The following is an 18,716-nucleotide window of genomic DNA, read 5'->3' as shown; positions in this document are numbered from 1 at the left end:
GTAACATTTTTACTTTTTTAAACTATTTAATTTTTAAAAATTTTTGACTTTTATAATAAATTTAGCTTAAAACACATTGTACAGCTGCTCAAAAATATTTTATTTCCTTATATTTTTATTCTATAAGCTTTTTTTCATTTTTAGAATTTTTACTAGTTTTTTACTTTTTAAATTTTTTGTTAAAAACTAAGACACAAACACACACCTTAGCCTAGGCCTGCACAGTGTCAGGATCATCAATATCACTGCTTTCCACCTCCACATCTTGTCCCACTTGGAAGGTCTTCATGGCAATAACATACATGGAGCTGTCACGTCCTATGATAACAATGCCTTCTTCTGGGTACATTCTGAAGGACCTGCCTGAGGCTGTTTACAGTTAACTTTTTAAAATAAGTACAAGGAGTCCACTATAAAATAATGATTAAAAGTATGGTATAGGACCAGGCACGGTGGCTCACGCCTGTAATCCCAGCACTTTGGGAGCCTGAGGCAGGTGGATCATGAGGTCAAGAGATGGAGACCATCCTAGCCAACATGGTGAAACCCCGTCTCTACTAAAAATACAAAAATTAGCTGGGCGTGGTGGCATGCGCCTGTAATCCCAACTATTTGGGAGGCTGAGGCAGGAGAATCGCTTGAACCCAGGAGGCGGAGGTTGCAATGAGCCGAGATAGCACCACTGCACTCCAGCCTGGTGACAAAACAAGACTCCGTCTCAAAAAAAAAAAAAAATATGTGTGTGTATATATATATATAGTATATTAAATACATACACCAGCAAGTTGTTTATTACATTATCAAGTATTATGTACTGTACATAATTGTGCTATATATGTATATATATATAGAGAGAGACAGAGAGACAGAGTCTCCCTCTGTTGCCAGGCTGGAGTGCAGTGGCACAATCTCGGCTCACTACAACTTCCACCTTCCAGGTTCAAGCAATTCTCCTGCCTCAGCCTCCCAAGTAGCTGGGACTACAGGCGCCTGCCACCACATCCAGCTAATTTTTGTATTTTTATAGAGATGGGGTTTCACCATGTTGGCCAGGATGGTCTTGATCTCTTGACCTTGTGATCCACCTGCCTCGGCCTCCCAAAGTGCTGGGATTACAGGCGTGAGCCACTGCACCTGGCCAATTGTGCTATATTTTTATATGACTAGCAGTGTGGTAGATTTGTTTACAACAGCATCACTACAAACACTTGAGTAGTACATTGCACTTTGATGTCAAAATGGCTACAATGTCACTAGGCGATAGAAATTTTTCAGCTCCATTATGATCATCTTATGGGACTTCCCTCCCATGTCCAGTCCATCCTTTTTTTTTTTTTAGACAGAGTCTCAAAATCCCAGCAATTTGGGAGGCTGAGGCAGGCAGATCACCAGAGGTCAGGAGTTTGAGACCAGCCTGGCCAACGTGGTGAAACCCGGTCTCTACTAAAAATACAAAAAATTAGCCAGGTGTGGTGGTGGGCACCTGTAGTCCCAGCTACTTGGGAGGGTGAGGTAAGAGAATTGCTTGAACCCGGGAGGCAGAGGTTGCAGTGAGCAGAGATTGTGCCATTGCACTCCAGCCTGGGCAACAAGAGCAAGACTCCATCTCAAAAAAAATATATATATATATATGTATATATATATGTGTGTGTGTGTGTGTATATATGTATATATATGTGTTTGTATATATATACATATAGATACATATATATAACAAAGTTTACTTCTCATAGTGAAGATAAATTCTCATCACTAGTATTGATTCTGGAGCTTTCTTTTCCATGTGTTATAAGGCGAATTGTGTTCCCCCAAAATTCACAGGTTAAAATCCTAACCCGAAAACTTCATAATGTGACTGTATTTGGAGACAGAGTCTTTAATTAGGTCACTAAGTTAAAATGAAATCATTGGGGTGGGCCCTAATCCAATATGCCTGGTATCCTTGTGTGAAGGGGAAATTAGGACACAGACATCTACAGAAAGACACCATGTGAAGACGCAGGGAGAAGGCGGCCATCTACAAGCCCAGCAGAGAGGCCTCAGAAGAAATTGATTCTGGTGACACCTTGATCTTGAACTTCTACCCTCTAGAATTGTAAGAAAATAAATTTCTGTTGTATAAGGCACCCAGTTTGTGGTACTTTGTTATGTCAGTCCTAGCAAACTAATATACCATGTTTCTGCCTTTACATACAAGTAGGCAACTATCATGTCTTCTCTTTACCAACTTCAATATCTTCTTTCCCTTCATACATTCATTTTGGCTTATCCATTGTCTACCATATCTTTTTTTTTTAAATATGTTTTCCAAATATTGTATCCATTGGTTCAGCACTTCTACCTCTAGGAAATTTTCATACTAAGGAAATTATACTAAAGAAGCACAAAGCTTTATATTATACATAAAAATTTGCATCCCAGCAATGCATATCATTTTCTCCAATTTTGAAAAATGATATATTACACATACTTTATTTTACAAAAAAGTAAGCCCAACATAATACATGTGTGATGAAATTTTCAAATAATGTGAAAATTTATAAGCAAAAAGTAAAGCCTTCTCTTACATTTACCCAGAAACCCACTCCCCAAAGAGCACTATAAGAGCATATTATCTGCACATATGATTATAAATATAAATAAACTCATGTATATATTTCTAAAAACAGAAATGGGGAAACAAATACATAATAGTAGAATAGTTTCACCTATGATATCATGCATATCTTTCTATGTTAATTCAATTCCTTATCCTTCCTTCCTTCACTGCCTTCGTAACTCCTGCCCCACTTAAGAGAGCTAGATTGTCATCTTGCTGACACTATCTGTCCTTCCCTATCTCTCTGTTAAGTGTTATTTCTCTAGATTCACATAGCACCCTGGACATAGCTAATAACCTCATATATGACCATAGTTAAGAACGATGGCACTAGGGTCAAACTGCCTGGGTTTTAATCCTCGTGTATTTATTTCCTGTTGCTGTTATAACAAATTACCACAAACTTAATAGCTTAAAACAACATAAATTTAGAAGTCAAAAGTTGTAAAATCAAGGCGTTAACAGGACTCTGTTCTTTCCGGAGGCTCCAGAGGAGAATTCATTTCCAGCTTCTGGAGGCTGCCTGCATTCCTTGGCTCACGGTCCTTTCCTCAGTCTTCAAGGTCAGCAGTGTGGCATCAAGCCTCTCTTTCCTTCTCTTCTGCCCTTTCTCTCTCTCTCTTTCTCTGTTTTCATCATCACATTCCTTCTGTGACTCTGACATTACTATTTACCTCTTATTAGGACTCTCCTCAACATTGGACCCACCCAGATCATCCAGGATAATCTTCCTGTATCAGGATCCTTAACTTAGGTCGAGCATGGTGACTCACACCTGTAATCCCAGGACTTTGGGAGGCCAGGTAGATCACCTGAGGTCAGGATTTCAAGAACAGCCTGGCCAACATAGTGAAACCCCATCTCTACTAAAAATATAAAAATTAGCCGGGCATGGTGGCACGTGCCTGCAGTCCCAGATACTCAGGGGCTTAGGCAGGAGAATCTCTTGAACCTGGGAGGTGGAGTTTGCAGTGAGCTGAGATTGCGCCACTGCACTTCAGCTTGGGCAACAGAGTGAGACTCCATCTTAAAAAAAAAAAAAAAATCCTTAACTTAATCATACCTGCAAAATCCCTTTTTTCCATGTAAGATTATATTCCATTTTTACCATTTTACTTTACAGGTAATTTCGATGCAAGGTAATATTTGCAGGTACTGGGGATTAGAAGGTGGACATCTTCAGGGAGCCATTACTCAACCTGCCACACTGGGCAATGCCATCTTATTAGCAAGGCATGCCTCAGTCTCAACAGCTATTAAAAAGAACAGAGTGATCATCCCTACTCATAAGGTTGCTCTGAGGATTCAGTGAGTTCATACCTGTGAATGGTGCCTGGGACATCATATATGTTCAGTAGTGGTAGCTATCATTATTATTATTATTATTATTATTATTATTATTATTATTGATGGAGTCTGGCTCTGTCACCCAGACTGGAAGGCAGCAGCACGATCTCAGCTCACTGCAACCTCCACCTCCTGGGTTCAAGTGATTCTCCTGCCTCAGCCTCCCGAGTAGCTGGGATTACAGGCACCCGCCACCATACCTGGCTAGTTTTTGTATTTTAGTAGAGACGTGGTTTTACCATGTTGGCCAGGCTGGTCTCAAACTCCTGACTTCAGCTGATCTGCCTGCCTCAGCCTCCCAAAGTGCAGGGATTACAGGTATAAGCCACCATGCCCAGCCAGTGGTAGCTATTATTATAACTACATAGTTATCTAGTTACCTTCTTTGCTCTACACTAGACTGCTAGTTCTTGAAGAAAAGAACAGAATTTTATATATCTGTGTGTTCCCAGGGTGGAGCACAGGGTCTGGGACATATTAGGTGCTCAATAAATATTTGTCAACCTGAATTACTCCACTTAAAAGACTAATATTTAGCCAGTAAAAATTATAGAGAATTTGAAATATTATGAAAAACATCATCATACATTATATTGTCATACAAAGTGACAAAAGCAAAATAAAATATGCACAATCACAGCTGTTTTAAATATGCAGGGCTAAAAATTATGCATAAAAATAGACTGGGAGGAAATATGCGCAAACATTAACACATTAACAGTTGGTGGTCTTGGAGTTGGGAAATCATGGGTTATTTTTTCTTCCTGTTTTTTTATTTTTTAACTTCAGATTTTCTCTATTGAGCACATTCCTTTTCAAGATGAAAAAATAATTTACGTCTTACTTATACACACACATCTCTTGTTCAGTAGACATTAAAGGTGACATTATACATCAAGTCAACTCAACCTCTGAGTTACTGCCTAGCTTGCAGTTCTGAGTCCAGAATTTACCAACTAAATGAACTGAAGAAGTTGCTGTTGCGGATGTTGTTGTTGTTGTTTTTGTGTCACCTGAGAGCTGAAGAGAGGGACCATCCACTCACAGGGCTGCAGCGGGGTCCGGTAGGATAAGGGCACATAAAGTGCCCAGCATGTGGCATGGCACACAATAGGCATGGAATAAATGTTAGATATTCTTCTCATGGTTACTATTACTCAGAGAACAATGCTATCAAACACATATAGGAAGAATTATAAGGAGGCATATGTTCAGAGACAAGAAGCAAAGAAAATTGGAAAAAAACCCAGCTCATTGCATGTCAGGATCTATAAGTTATTTCACTTTAGCTCCTTTCAAGGAAAGATGTACCAAGCTCAATAGTACAAGGGAGTTTTTTTTTTTTTTAAACATTCTAAGTTTTAGCAAGGGAACTGGCCCTCATCCCTCGAAATCTCTTGCAGATCCCCCAGATGTAAGACAGATCAAAACAACTGCTCCAGTAAAACCCCACATGGGGTCAGGCCATGTGTTCTGAGCTCCACATCACCCTCACGGATCTGAGGCTTCTCAGAATAATGTGGCAAGCACTGTTCCAACACTAACCTAACTGGTTAATGAGTTGTAACTTTCCCAGTTTCTTCTGGGAGCAAGGGCACTATGTCATCCACACCCTATTGTGGTTAGAAGAGGCAACAGGAGGTAAAGGCATATTGGGAACAGCTGTACCAGGCTCCTGAACTACTTGGCACAGCACTTGTGCATGTCTCAAGCCTGTTCCTTAGGAGCCGTGCCTTTATGTGAGCTGGAGCAACACGCAGTGATTGTCCTCAAAAGCTGGTCCTCCTCAGTCTTGACTACCCCTTTGTTTACACGTTGATCAGCAGGTGGTGGCTGAATGTTCCCCTTTGATTTCTGTGGCTCAGGAGCAGCGGGCTAAGACATGAGCTGAATAAACATCGTATCATTTGGCACTGGCAGGATTCCTGGTAACCCGGGTCAGGCAAGGTTTAAGAAGGATTAGGTTTAGATTAGAAAAGGGGTTGAGTTCTTTTTTTTCCCCTGTGGTCTCTTAAGTGCCTAGGGGTTTTGTAAGAGGAGAGTGGGCTGACCGCCTAGGCTCAGTTTCCAGAAATAAAAGTGGTGAGCTTGGTGTTCTTTTGCAGAAGACCTAAGTGTGTGCTAATTCTGAGTTTGGCTTCTGCTGTAAGGGTCGTGGGCTCTTGGGAATTTGGTGAAAGCTCTAGATCTTTTCTCTAGAGAATTGCACACACACACACACACACACACACACACACAGACAATTTTATTTATTTATGGTGTTTCCTGAAACACTCAGCCTGGGGGAATTTTAATAGCCCACACAGCTCACTAATAGGAGGCTGTACTCTTCCCCAAGGTGAGACTGGGGGGTACCCCCTCTGGCCATCCTCCTCATGGTCGCTCCTCAGTGACCACCGGCCACGCTGAATGAAACTTGCTGTCACACTGCCAGCTTTTCTTGGCAGTCTGGCCTTGGAGAGGCTCGCTGGGGGCTCTGGCAGTTGCTCTTGTTTATTACAAAGTCTTGCTCCACTCCCTGGCGACAGCTTGCAAACCAAAACTATTTCATTTCCCAGTTACAAACAGGTTAGAGGAGAGAGGGTGAAAAAAAAAAAGGCAGACACCTTTTGAAGGCATGACTTCTCCTCGGCTTCCCTGGAAGGTTGGTTTTGTCCTCCAGCGTCCCGCAGCTCTGGATTTACTTCTAGGGTAACCGTGGTTGTTTCTGCCTTCAAGTGAACAAAATTGCTGGTTAAATTTTTTCTTCTTGTTCTTCTCTCTCTCAGTGGAGGTTTTTCCCCCACCACTTAGAAAAAAGGATGAGGCTAATACTCTCCTTCCCCTCAATTAAATGGATGTTTCCCTCCTAACTGACTGACTTTGCAAAAACTGCAATGTGGATGAAAGGGGGATGGGTGCAGGTATCAAGGAAAGATAGAAGTATTTTCCAATTCTATAAACAGCTGTCTGCCTCTCATCTTTACCACACAAAAATCATGGCTCAGAACCCTTGTAAAGGAGTGAGTAGGCACTGAAGTGTCCAGTGCACCATCTACTTGTTATGTGACAGTGAGCAAGTTACTTAACCTCTTTGAGCCCCAGTTTTCTCTCAGGATTAAAACAGTACCTGCTGCATAAGGTGGTAGTGAGAATTCAATGAGAATGTGGGCCTAGTTGTTAGCAGCTCTTTGACTCCAAGTGAACATTCAGGAACTATTTATTATTAATATTATAAACAGTTTTGTTTTGTTTTGTTTTGTTTTTTAAACGGAGTCTCGCTCTGTCGCCCAGGCTGGAATGTCCACTTCCTGGGTTCAAGCGATTTCCCTGCCTCAGCCTCCTGAGTAGCTGGGACTACAGGCGGGCGCCACCGTGCCCAGCTAACTTTTTGTATTTTTAGTAGAGACGGGGTTTCACCATGCTGGCCAGGCTGGTCTCGAACTCCTGACCTCATGATCTGCCGCCTTGGCCTCCCAAAGTGCTGGGATTACAGGCCACCATGCCTAGCCTATAAACAGATTTTTATGCCCCAGTGGAGCACTATTTTTCCTTTAGAAACACCATCTAGCACTGCTATGGTCTGAATGTTTGTGTTCCCCAGAATTCGTAGGTTGAAACCTAATCACCCATGTGATGGTAACTGAAGGTGGGCCCTTTGGGGAGTGATTAAATCACGAAGGCAGATCCTTCATGAATGGGGTTAGTGTCCTTATGAAGAAGGCTCCCAAGAGCTGCCTTGCCTCTTCCACCCTATGGGGACACAGCAAGAAGTGCCATCTATGAGCCAGCAAGCAGGGCCCTCACCAGACACTGAATCTGCCAGCTCCTTGAGTTTGGCCTTTCCAGCCCCTATTACTGTGAGAAATAAGTTTCTGTTGTTGATAAGCTACCCAGTGTGTGTATTTTGTTCTAACAGCCTGAACAGACTAAGACATGTGTCTTAAACACAAACATAGGCTCTCTCCAATTTGTACTAGGAAGTTCTACTTGCCACACCTAGGATGAGTAACTAATTAGGTGACATCATTTTAGGACCTGGTTGAAGGTTCTAATCCTAAATAATACTCTTAGCACAGAAGTAAGGGCACGTGATATGTCCAACCTACTATACCAAGTAGTAAAGATATTTTAAAACATTCAGGCTGGGCACAGTGGCTCATGCCTATAATCCCAGCCCTCTGGGAGGCCGAGGCGGGTGGATCACCTGAGGTCAGGAATTTGAGACCAGCCTGACCAACATAGTAAAACACCGTCTCTACTAAAAGTACAAAATTAGCCAGGCGTAGTGGCACATGCCTGTAATCCCAGCTACTTGGGAGGCTGAGGCAGGAGAATCACTTGAACCTGGGAGGCAGGCAGAGTTTGCAGTGAGCTGAGATCACACCATTGCACTCCAGCCTGGGCATCAAGAGTGAAACTCTGCCTCAAAAATAAATAAATAAATAAATTAATTAATTAATAATAATAATAATAAAACCATTCAGACTCTGCTCTTCATGTAACACCACCGTCAAGTCAGCAGAGAAGACAGTACAAGTTTTTATAAGAGTAAATATTTGTTGGAGCACTTTGCATGTGCTAATAAATGTCCTAAGCAATTTATCTAGTTTAGTCTTTTCAGTAATCTTCTGAATAGGTACTATTATTATCATCATCATTTTATAAATGAAAACAGAGTCTCAGAGAGGTTAAGTGAATGTTTCAGAGTCACAGAGCTTGTACGAATGACAGCTGGTACTAAACTGAGAGTCTACTGCATTATGTGGATTTAGTCTCTTCTAATTCGTATGAGCCTGTGTTGCTTCTCTTTAAACTCCCTAAAATAATAATGTTCAGTTGAGAAGTTCGTCGTTGCTCACTTTAATAGGACTGAACATCTGCTCCTAGCAGAATTCTTAGATGGCTTAACACTGTCCAGAGCAAACTCAGCTTCAGATTTATGTAAAGCAACTTTCACATTGTTTGTGAAACTGATGGATAATTTATTTTTTAACCACCATGCAGAAGCAAACCGTGTAAGTGCACACATCCTTCAGTGCTCACAAATAAAAGGGGAAGAAGTAATAGTGTTCATTTACATCATCCACAATGTTTGCTATAAAACATAAGAAACAGTTCTTAAAGCCATGTACAGACTCACGCAGTGGTGCTTCTGCAAAAACTTACGCCATGAACTCTAGTCTATTCTCTCATTTCTTTTTTTGAGACAGAGTCTCACTCAGTCGCCCAGTCTGGAGTACAGTGGTACGATCTCAGCTTACAGCAACCTCTGCCTCCTGGGTTCACGGGATTATTGTGCCTCAGCCTCCCGAGTAGCTGGGATTACAGGCATGCACTACCGCACCTGGCTTATTTATTTATTTATTTTTGTATTTTAGTAGAGATGGGGTTTCACCATGTTGGCCAGGCTGGTCTTGAACTCCTGGCCTCAAGTGATCCATCCACTCAGCCTCCCAAAGTGCTGGGATTACAGGCATGAGCCACTGCGCCTGGCTTATCCTCTCATTTCTATTGGCCCTGAGCAAGTTTGACAACTGAACTAAACTTCTTTATGTAATGTTTGTTTTGTTTTGTTTTGTTTTTTCCTCTGATTGTAAAAGTGGTATATGTCCATTATAGAAAATTTAGAAAATGCAAGTGTATATAAAGAAGCCACTCAAATGAACCAAATTTCTTAGTGTTTGATCTGGACTCAGATTCAAGGCTCATTTGGCTCTTAATAAAATTCAGAGTTGTTTTTGTGAGGGACTACAAGGATAAACCTTTGGATTCTAGTGTAATTTAAGATATTTTACTGGTGGGGCACGGTGGCCTATGCCTGTAGTCCCAGCACTTTGGGAGGCCAAGGTAGGCAGATCACTTGAGGTCAGGAGTTTGAGACCAGCCTGACCAACATGGTGAAACCCCGTTTCTACTAAAAATACAAAATTAGCCTGGTGTGGCGGTGCATGCCTGTAATCCCAGCTACTTCAGAGGCTGAGGCAGGAGAATCACTTGAACCTGGGAGGCGGAGGTTGCAGTGAGCCGAGATGGCGCCACTGCACTCCAGCCTGGGCAACATGAGAGAAACTCCATCTTAAAAAAAAAGATATTTTACCATAAGTCATTTTAAAGAAGTCAAGTTAGAAAAGAATTTTTTTATCTGCTCCTAAGTGTTATGGGTGAATATCCAGAGAAATGTTGAATGGGGAAAAAGTAAGCCTATGACATTCTTCAATGCTTTCTATTGTATAGCAAACTGGATTCTTGCCTTCTCTGAGCTTTCAAAGCTATGGTTTAAAAAGACAACTAGAAATGTGATTTCCTACTCCTCATTGTTTTTCCATTTTTCTTCCTATTTATAAAGGATTAAAATGTTATACCTAAAAAAAAGAAAATTGCAAAAATCAGGTTATATCTATACCATTTTTGGATATTTGCAGTATTTAATATTTCCATCTTATCTGAATATGATTCAAAGAACAAATTACTTCCACATATATTTCTTTCTTCCTATAATGGCCATCAGACACTTTAAATCTATTTAAAAGTTATTTTCATGTATTGGCTGCATATGAACATGTAATGGAAAAAGATCAAACCATTTAATTTTCCATGTTCTTAAATCAATCATATTGAATTGACATTGTGTGTTCAGAATGTCCCCAATCATATGTAAAAAAGAAATAGGTAGACATTAACCTAATTTTCTTCTTTCTCTTTCACTTGGTTTCAAAGTCAAATTAGAGGGGAGTTGATTACATATTACACAGCACTACTTCCCATGTTATCTGTGAGCCAAAATTTCATAAGGCAATTAGTATTCTCAAATTTACAATCCACAACTTCAGAGGCATTAACTGCTCAGGTAATTATTTATTTATGTAATATTTACTTACTTGCTTATCACTTCATCCGAGAACCTCAGTGTGATTCATAAATATTAACCTATTATAATTATGTGTTATTGCAAGAAAATAAGATACATAGTTATTAGTAGGTTTTAAATCATTATAAGCTGTGCAGTTGATCAAGAAAGCTGATATTTAGATTTGTGGTTATAACTTATATCTAACTTATAGTTAAATCATTGTTCTTCTTCTTTTTTTTTTTTTTTTTTTTTGAGACACAGTCTTGCTCTGTCGCCCAGGCTGGAGTGCAGTGGCATGATCTTGGCTCACTGTAAGCTCTGCCTTCCAGGTTCATGGCACTCTCCTGCCTCAGCCTCCCAAGTAGCTGGGACTACAGGTGCCCGCCACCATGCCCAGCTAATTTTTTTTTTTTATTTCTTAGTAGAGATGGGGTTTCACCATGTTAGCCAGGATGGTCTCGATCTCCTGACCTCATGATCCGCCTGCCTCGGCCTCCCAGATTGCTGGGATTACAGGTGTGAGCCACCACACCCGGCCAAATCATTATTCTTTTTGGTGTCAGTGATGTGCTATCATATATTGAAAGAATTCTGGGTGATAGTTCAGCATTGCGAAGTGACAGCAGAAGAACCTGATGCAAGTTTATTCTTCTCTTCTTTAGGATTTCCAGTATTTTATCTCTAACATAGTAGGAATGTCTTGAATTAAGCATGTAGAATTTTATTTTTAGGGTCCTCCAAATAAGTCATTCTCTCGCGTCCTAGCATGACCTTCAGTAACCAAACAAGCAAAAAGTCTAATAATTATAAATATAGTGTTTACCAAGATAAAAAAGGTAAACAGACATTCTTATGATACCTAGTTAGTCTGTCTAGGCTTGTGACCTTTTCCACTGAACTCTGAACACATCTGGCTTTTTCCTGCCAAACCTCAGATCTCCGACCTGTGTTATTTGTGGTCATCACCTTTACTGTTGTTGTTGCTTTTAAGTTAATTCTGTTAGGGTTGTGGAGCTCCAAGCTGTGAATTATGATTTGTAATCTCTTGTGTTTATGACATTCTACTTCTTTCCAACATGATTTATGGCTGACCTTATTTTTAACATTTGGACACAATGCTTTTATATTTCAAAGCTGACCTTTGATCTTTGTGTGTTCTATTTTGTAAATCTTAGGTGATGGATCTTGGGAGCCACAGGTGAGAGGGGCTAAAAAAAGGTCCCACAAATGTGGTGATTGTTTGTTGGCTGCCATGATTCAACAGCAGGGTCATGAAAGCTGATGCAGGGAGCTGCTCAGACCAGGGATGAGTTTGGACGGTAAATCTGAGTCACTGCCTGATCCAGCAAATTCCCCAGGTGCCTCTGAGTCTAGGATCAGGGTCATCTTTGACTTGAGAGTGCATAACAATGTCTGCTTTCCCAAAGGAATAAAGATGGAAAGCCCTGTTATCCACTTTTAATCATATATTTTTTCTAGCAATATGCTAATTTAATACATCCGCACCTGTATGTCTCTCAACATGTCAATAATTTTAGTCATGTTAACATGCTGATAACTGTGCCATTTTAGTCATTTGAGTTTGCAGACTCATAAAACAGATGTGCCCCCGTGAGGAATACTTAGATGGCTTTCTCATAGTTTCTAACTTGCCTACATTTAAATTAATATAAAATAAGTAATTACATTATAAAATTATAGTTTCCCAAAAGATTTTTGAGTCCAGATCCCTATTGTCCTAAAAGGTGGCAATTGTTTGTCTTCGGTAGACTGTTAACTTCATAATTTTCATTAAGATTAATTCTATTAATTCCTTGGTCCATCCCTATATTGAGTAACCTATTTTCTAGGATATCTTCCTAAAACAATGGAACTTCTTACTGAAGCAATGTAAGACTGGCATTGTTAGTCTGCAGCAATCCTCCAGGGAAACAGAAAAGTGACCATTTCCTTCCTTTGCTCCTTCCTTCATTTCCTCCTTCATTCCTTTCTTCCTAATTATTTTATTTTTATTTATTTACTAGAGACAGTGTCTTGCTCCGTTGCCCAGGTTGAAGTGCAGTGGCACTATCAAGGTTCATCACAGCCTTCACCTCCTGGGCTCGAGTAGCTGAGATCACAGGTGCGCACCACCACACCTGGCTAATTTTTTTTTTTTTTTTTGTAGAGACAGAGTCTACCTATGTCACCCAGGATGATCTCAAACTCCTAAACTCAAGCAATCCTCCTACCTCAACCTCCCAAAGCACTGGGATTACAGGCCTGAGCCATGTGTTCAACCCCCCTTTCTTCCTAATTTACATTCTAGTTAAGGGGAAGTATATGAATCCTGAGCACAAGCTATGTGGCTAACCAGTCAATATTCAACTACCAAGGCTTAAAACTTTTATCTCTGGCTGGTTGGAGATTCACCCAAACTCTATAAAATAAAGTGCCATGGAAGAATATCTCATGGAAAAATCCCAGGCTTTGGATTTTGTTTTTTTTTTTTTTGGATGGAGTCTCGCCCTGTCCCTCAGGCTGGAGTGCAGTGGCGCAATCTCGGCTCACTGCAGCCTCCCTCTCCTGGGTTCATGCGATTCTCCTGCCTCAGCTTCCCAAGTAGCTGGGATTGCAGGCATGCGCCATGATGCCCAGCTAATTTTTGTATTTTTAATAGAGACGGGGTTTCCCATGTTGGCCAGGCTAGTCTCAAGTGACCCATCTGCCTTGGCCTCCCAAAGTGCAGGAATTACATCATGCCCGGCCTGGATTTAAATGCATTTTTATTCCAGTATGGCTCTTCCATTTTACCTACTGTGACATTGTACAAGCTAACCTGATTCAACATGTGTAGAAGAAAGAAAACAATAGTTAACTAATGGAATGGTGATGGAGATTAAATTAGATAAGAAATGCAAGTAATGTGCCTAAAATAGTGACTTTCACCTGGTAGACGCTCTCTACATAAACCTAAAAATAATTTTAGGTTAGGTTTATGTAGAGAGCATCTACCAGGTTAAAGTTAATTTCTCAAATATTTGAACAATTCCCATTAATTGTAATTCCTGCACTTTGGGAGGCCAAGGCAGATGGATCACTTGAGACCAGCCTGGCCAACATGGGGAAACCCCGTCTCTACTAAAAATACAAAAATTAGTCAGGCATCATGGCACATGCCTGTAATCCCAACTACTTGGTTTAACCAAACCTAAAATTATTTTTAGGTTTATGTAGAGAGCGTCTACCAGGTGAAAGTTAATTTCTCAAATATTTGAACAATTCCCATTAAATTTCCCCTTTTATCATTTTCTCCAGTAACTTCATGAAGAATGGTAAGCTTTTCTGTATGTAAGAATAATCTCACCTTTCAAAAAGAAAATTGCCATTTCTCTGTAACATCAACAATTATTCCTTATCTATTTTACTTGTATAATCAAAGAATAATACAAACATGGAAACAGATGAAGAGACATCAAGAAACTCTGCCTTTGCTTAGTTGGCAACAGCTGATAATGAGATTCCAAAGGGGAATATTGTAAGCAGGGTGAATTAGGAGATTGAACTGCAAAAGATTCAGAGAGACAAGATTAAGTTACATGAAGATAGCATCTAAAAAATGATGAAAGATGAAATTCACGCAAGCTCTTCTGATGTATTGGCAACCTGCAAGATGCTGCTGGACAATCTCCTGGGAATCACTTAACCTTAGAGGTAATTGTGGAGTGAAAAATTCATTCAAGAGATTGCCTGAGAAGATAAATGCAAAAGAGGCACTAAAAAAAACGTGATTAATGCTCTCAAAGGCAATGGGCAGGGGGGATCAGGATAATAATGAGACTTTACCATTTCACAAAAGATCTTTGCATGTGTCATCTCTGTATTGCAGATCAGCCCTGAAAGACAGGAACCTCCCATATCATCATTTTATAGATGTGGAACTGAAGCTCAGCCACAATTAAGTGACTTGCCCAAAGCCACACAGCCAGTAAAGGACAAGGCCAGGACTTAAAGGTGGATCTTCCAATTCTAAATCCATTACAATCTGCTCTAAAGGACTGTCAAATGTGATGTTTCACTGAGGAATGATGACTTTGAATAGCACCATTTTATGGTAGAAGGCAAACTATCTTTCTGCCTTGAATACAATAGTTCCCCGTTAACTGAGGTCAACTGTGGTCTGAAAATATGTGAGTACAGTACAATAAGGTATTTTGAAAGAAAGAGAGAGACATTTATATAATTTTTTTTTTGAGACAGGGTCTTGCTCTGTTGTCCACAGTGGAGTGCAATGGCACAAACATAGCTCACTGCAGCCTCAACCCCCTGGGTTTAAGCAATCCGTCTGCCTCAGCTTCTGAGTACTAGGACCACAGGCATGCGCCACTATGCCTGGCTAAGTGTTTTATTTTTTGTAGAGATGGGGTTTTGCCAAATTGCCCAGGATCCTGGGCTCAAGGGATCCTCCCGCCTCTGCCTCCCAAAGTTCACAGCCATAAGCCACCTTGCCAGCCTTACATAACTTTTATTACAGTATATTGTTGTAATTTTTTAATTTTATTATTATTGTTGTTAATCTCTTACTGTGCCTAATTTATAAATTAAACTTTATAATTGTTATGTATGTATAGGAAAAACATAGTATGTACAGGGTTTGGTAAAATCTGATTTCAGGCATCTAATGGGGGGCTTGGAAGGTATCCCCCCAGATAAGAGGGGACTACTGTAATGTTCACCTGAATAATTTAGGGGAATGTTTAGAAGCCTTAGTTATAGACATTGACTCTCAGGCTATCCCCAGTCTCTAAATGTTTCCTGTGTCAACATACTCAGTTTCTGAGGGACACAAATTAAATATAGGTTCCAGAAGACACTTCAGGCAAATATACCCATATTAATACAAAATAGGACTTAATCCCAAACCCATATGGGTTTTCTACCCTGGTGACCTCAGCTGGGCTATTTCTTGGCTTCTGGCTGAATAAGGCTTAGTATAAAGGCAAACCAAAGATCATGGGCTTGAGTGTTGCACTCGACATCACATGCGCTTTTGCTGCTAATCTTGCAGGAAATTACAAAATAAAATTAACTGAGGTACAGCTTGTACACTAAACTACATATACAGTAAAGTACACAAACCTTAACTGTACAGCTTGATAAAGTTTAACGTATGTATACCCCGTGTAACCCCTACCATCAAGATATAAAACGTTTCTGGTACCTGCAGGGCATTTTAGAATATCTATAAAAACGAACTTACCCACTCTAAACTGTCAATGGGAGGAGGATGGCCTTTGCCTACGGTCTTAGCAGGACAAGCAAATAAAAGCACTAATTTTTAAATTTCAGGAAGTCTTTAGCTCTTCAGAGGCAGACCCTATGCTTAGAATAAGGGTGGGTCAGGCGTGAGCTGGCCAGCACTGTTTCCGGCTGGGTCTCTGCAGCATTTCCTCTTTCTGTAATACTTCAGCTGGTTTTCCTCAGAAGAACCACTCCTTTCCACGTGTTTGAGTCACACTAATCCCATCCTCCTGGAGCCAGGGTTGGATGATGGGAATGAGGCCTAAGCCAATGAGCGTGCTGCATTCCCAGCCCACACTGACAGGCCTAGGGGTAGGCCCAATGTAAAGCAAGGAGAGTTTTGCTGAGACAGGGAGCCAGAATCAGGAAGGGTGGAGCCAACACACTGAGACAGAAATCAGATCTGCTGACACGGCCGAGCTCCCTTATCTACCCACGCCCGAAACAAGATCCACCCTTGGACTTTTAAGTTATAAGGCTCAGTAGATCCTCTTGTGTCAAGCAGCTTGAACTTTGTTTTCTGTCACTTGCAGTCAAAATGACCCAGTAAGTTTCTGGGAGGGCTAAGTTGTCCCCTGTAAGAGAATGAGAGGAATTTTTTCTTCTCTTAAAAGAGAGTGGGCATAGAAAGGAGGGGAAAAGGAAGAGAGGGAGGCTGGAGCCCGAATTGTGGCAGAAAAGGAATGAAAGATTTGCTTTTTAAGAACAAGGACAAGGATGATGAATATTGTATTCATGTTTTTTACATTTTATGCAAACTACTTTTACCTTTCCCAAACTCCAGCAAAGTTGACTACATATAAAAATGCCTGTGTGAGTGTGTGTGTGTGTGGGTGTGGGTGTGGGTATGTGAGAGAGAGAGAGAGAGTGAGAGAGAGAGAGAGACAAGAGAAGAGAGAGGATGGGGGAGAAGAAGAAGGATGAGGAGGAGAGGAAGGCAGGCTGGCTGGCTGGCCAGGATCTACATTGTATTGAGGTGATACAGAATAAGGAACACAAGAGGCAATGAAAAGATTATCTCTAAACTCAACAAATTCAGCAAAATAGGAGTTTGAAGCCAGAACTGATCATGAGAATGTAAGCCCTCTGGCAATGCATGGAATTGTTGAAGACTGAGTTGGACTTCCGCAAGTCTTGGTATGGGGGATTGAGCCTATGTCCTCTAGATCTTAAGAGGCAGGGTGACCCCAACTAACTAGGGCTGACATTATCCCTAAGTCTATTTATTTGACAATAACATTACTTGCTAGTAAGAGTTTTCTCAGCCAATTCTAACTTTGGGTTGGTTAAACAGGAACCAAAAAGGCAAACAAATAAAAATCTACACAGGGAGTGAAAAACAGATAATAGTAAAATATTTTTCAAAAATGACTTGAAATAAGGAACTTCAAAATTAACAAACTCTTTCACTTTACTGATATGCAAGAAATCTGCTTCCCAAAGCCCAGACATACCCAAAGGAAAACAAAATGCATGCACTTTGCTTTGCTTAATGCAGTTGCCTGTGCAAAATGCTAGGCCTCCGTGAACGCAACTGACTCACAGTTCTCTGAAGTTACCAGTTAACCCCAAATTGGACATTTACCATTTAATAGGAAAAACATGTGCTTTCTCTACTCCCATCACCACACCCTACCTTGGAAGTTTTTCCATCAGTTAACATTTATTAAATTCTAATGGCACTAGATGTAACCTCCACCTCCCGGTTCAAGCAATTCTCCTATCTGAGCCTCCCAAGTAGCTGGGATTACAGGTGCCCGACACCACGCTCGGCTAATTTTTGTATTTTTAGTAGAGATGGGGTTTCAACATGTTGGTCAGGCTGGTCTGGAACTCCTGACCTCAGGTGATCCACCCGCCTCGGCTTCCCAAAGTGCTGTGGTTACAGGCGTGAGCCACATACCTGGCCTATAATACCTTTGAATGAGTTACTTTGTGTTGATATCCCCCATTAGTCTTTAGGGACAGAGAGGGTTCTAGTAATTGAATAATTTTAATAAATATTTTTCCATTTTTTCCCAATGAACTCATCAAGTGATTACCTTTTAACTCCATCTGGGGAATTTTTAAAGAGCTTTCAATTACAATGTATGTTTCTATTTAATTTGCAATCCATCCTACTAACTGTTACTATTACAAACATAGCTTTAAGTCTGAACAATCCAATGCTGATTAGAGGTTTTCAGCATTAAGCATTGGTTGTGGTTCTAAAGTTTAACAAATAACACAATACGTAATTCTCTGGCACGTCCAGCCTTTTCATGTCACGCAGTTGAAGCCTCCCTCTATTAACGAGACAAGCAAACAGAATGCATACTATAATCAACTGAGCAGGCTATGATTAACTTTGCACAGAGCCGTCCCCAAACTCCCTACAAACTCCATACTGGTTCTTAGATAAAAATATGGCAATGCATATTTCTCTAATGAAGAGAAAATTTCCAGTTAAGAGCATCTGATGTTTCTTGTATTTTAGGTGATTATAAATCAAATTAGCAGAGGGCCTGTTCACAGCTGTCTGTTCTATAGTTCTATATTATTTTCCCTTGCTTCTCCTACACAAAGAAAACATTTGTGAGGTGCTGTCCTTCATTTATTCATTTATTTTGAGACGGAGTCTCACTCTTGCTGCCCAGGCTGGAGTGCAGTGGTGTGATC

General features: G+C 40.6%; 1 long non-coding RNA gene across 2 annotated transcripts in view, besides 1 other annotated feature; it reads right to left on the bottom strand.

Moving 5' to 3' along the window:
- LINC01504 (long intergenic non-protein coding RNA 1504) overlaps positions 1–16,207 on the bottom strand; it is a 37,775-nt gene extending 21,568 nt beyond the window's left edge. Inside the window, exons 1-2 of one of the 2 annotated variants that reach the window (NR_110952.1) lie at positions 16,018–16,207; positions 6,553–6,657 (exon numbers count right to left, since the gene is read on the bottom strand). This is a non-coding gene — a long non-coding RNA (long intergenic non-protein coding RNA 1504). Of the gene's footprint in view, positions 1–6,174; positions 6,658–16,017 lie in introns of those variants that run through there. The other variant, NR_110953.1, reaches the window with a different exon arrangement.
- Positions 5,457–6,005: an enhancer, noted in NCBI's record as "OCT4-NANOG hESC enhancer chr9:74930554-74931102 (GRCh37/hg19 assembly coordinates)". NCBI's record gives its function as "activates a minimal SCP1, AML or CMV promoter by ChIP-STARR-seq in naive H9 embryonic stem cells {active_cell/tissue: H9 hESC(naive)}" and the evidence as "EXISTENCE:reporter gene assay evidence [ECO:0000049][PMID:30033119]".
- Positions 16,208–18,716: the final 2,509 nt, after the last annotated feature.

This window comes from Homo sapiens, chromosome 9, assembly GCF_000001405.40.
Source record: "Homo sapiens chromosome 9, GRCh38.p14 Primary Assembly".
Classification (NCBI taxonomy): Eukaryota; Metazoa; Chordata; class Mammalia; order Primates; family Hominidae; genus Homo; species Homo sapiens.
Note: the sequence above shows the minus strand (reverse complement) of the source record. Positions and strands in the feature narration are given on the sequence as shown.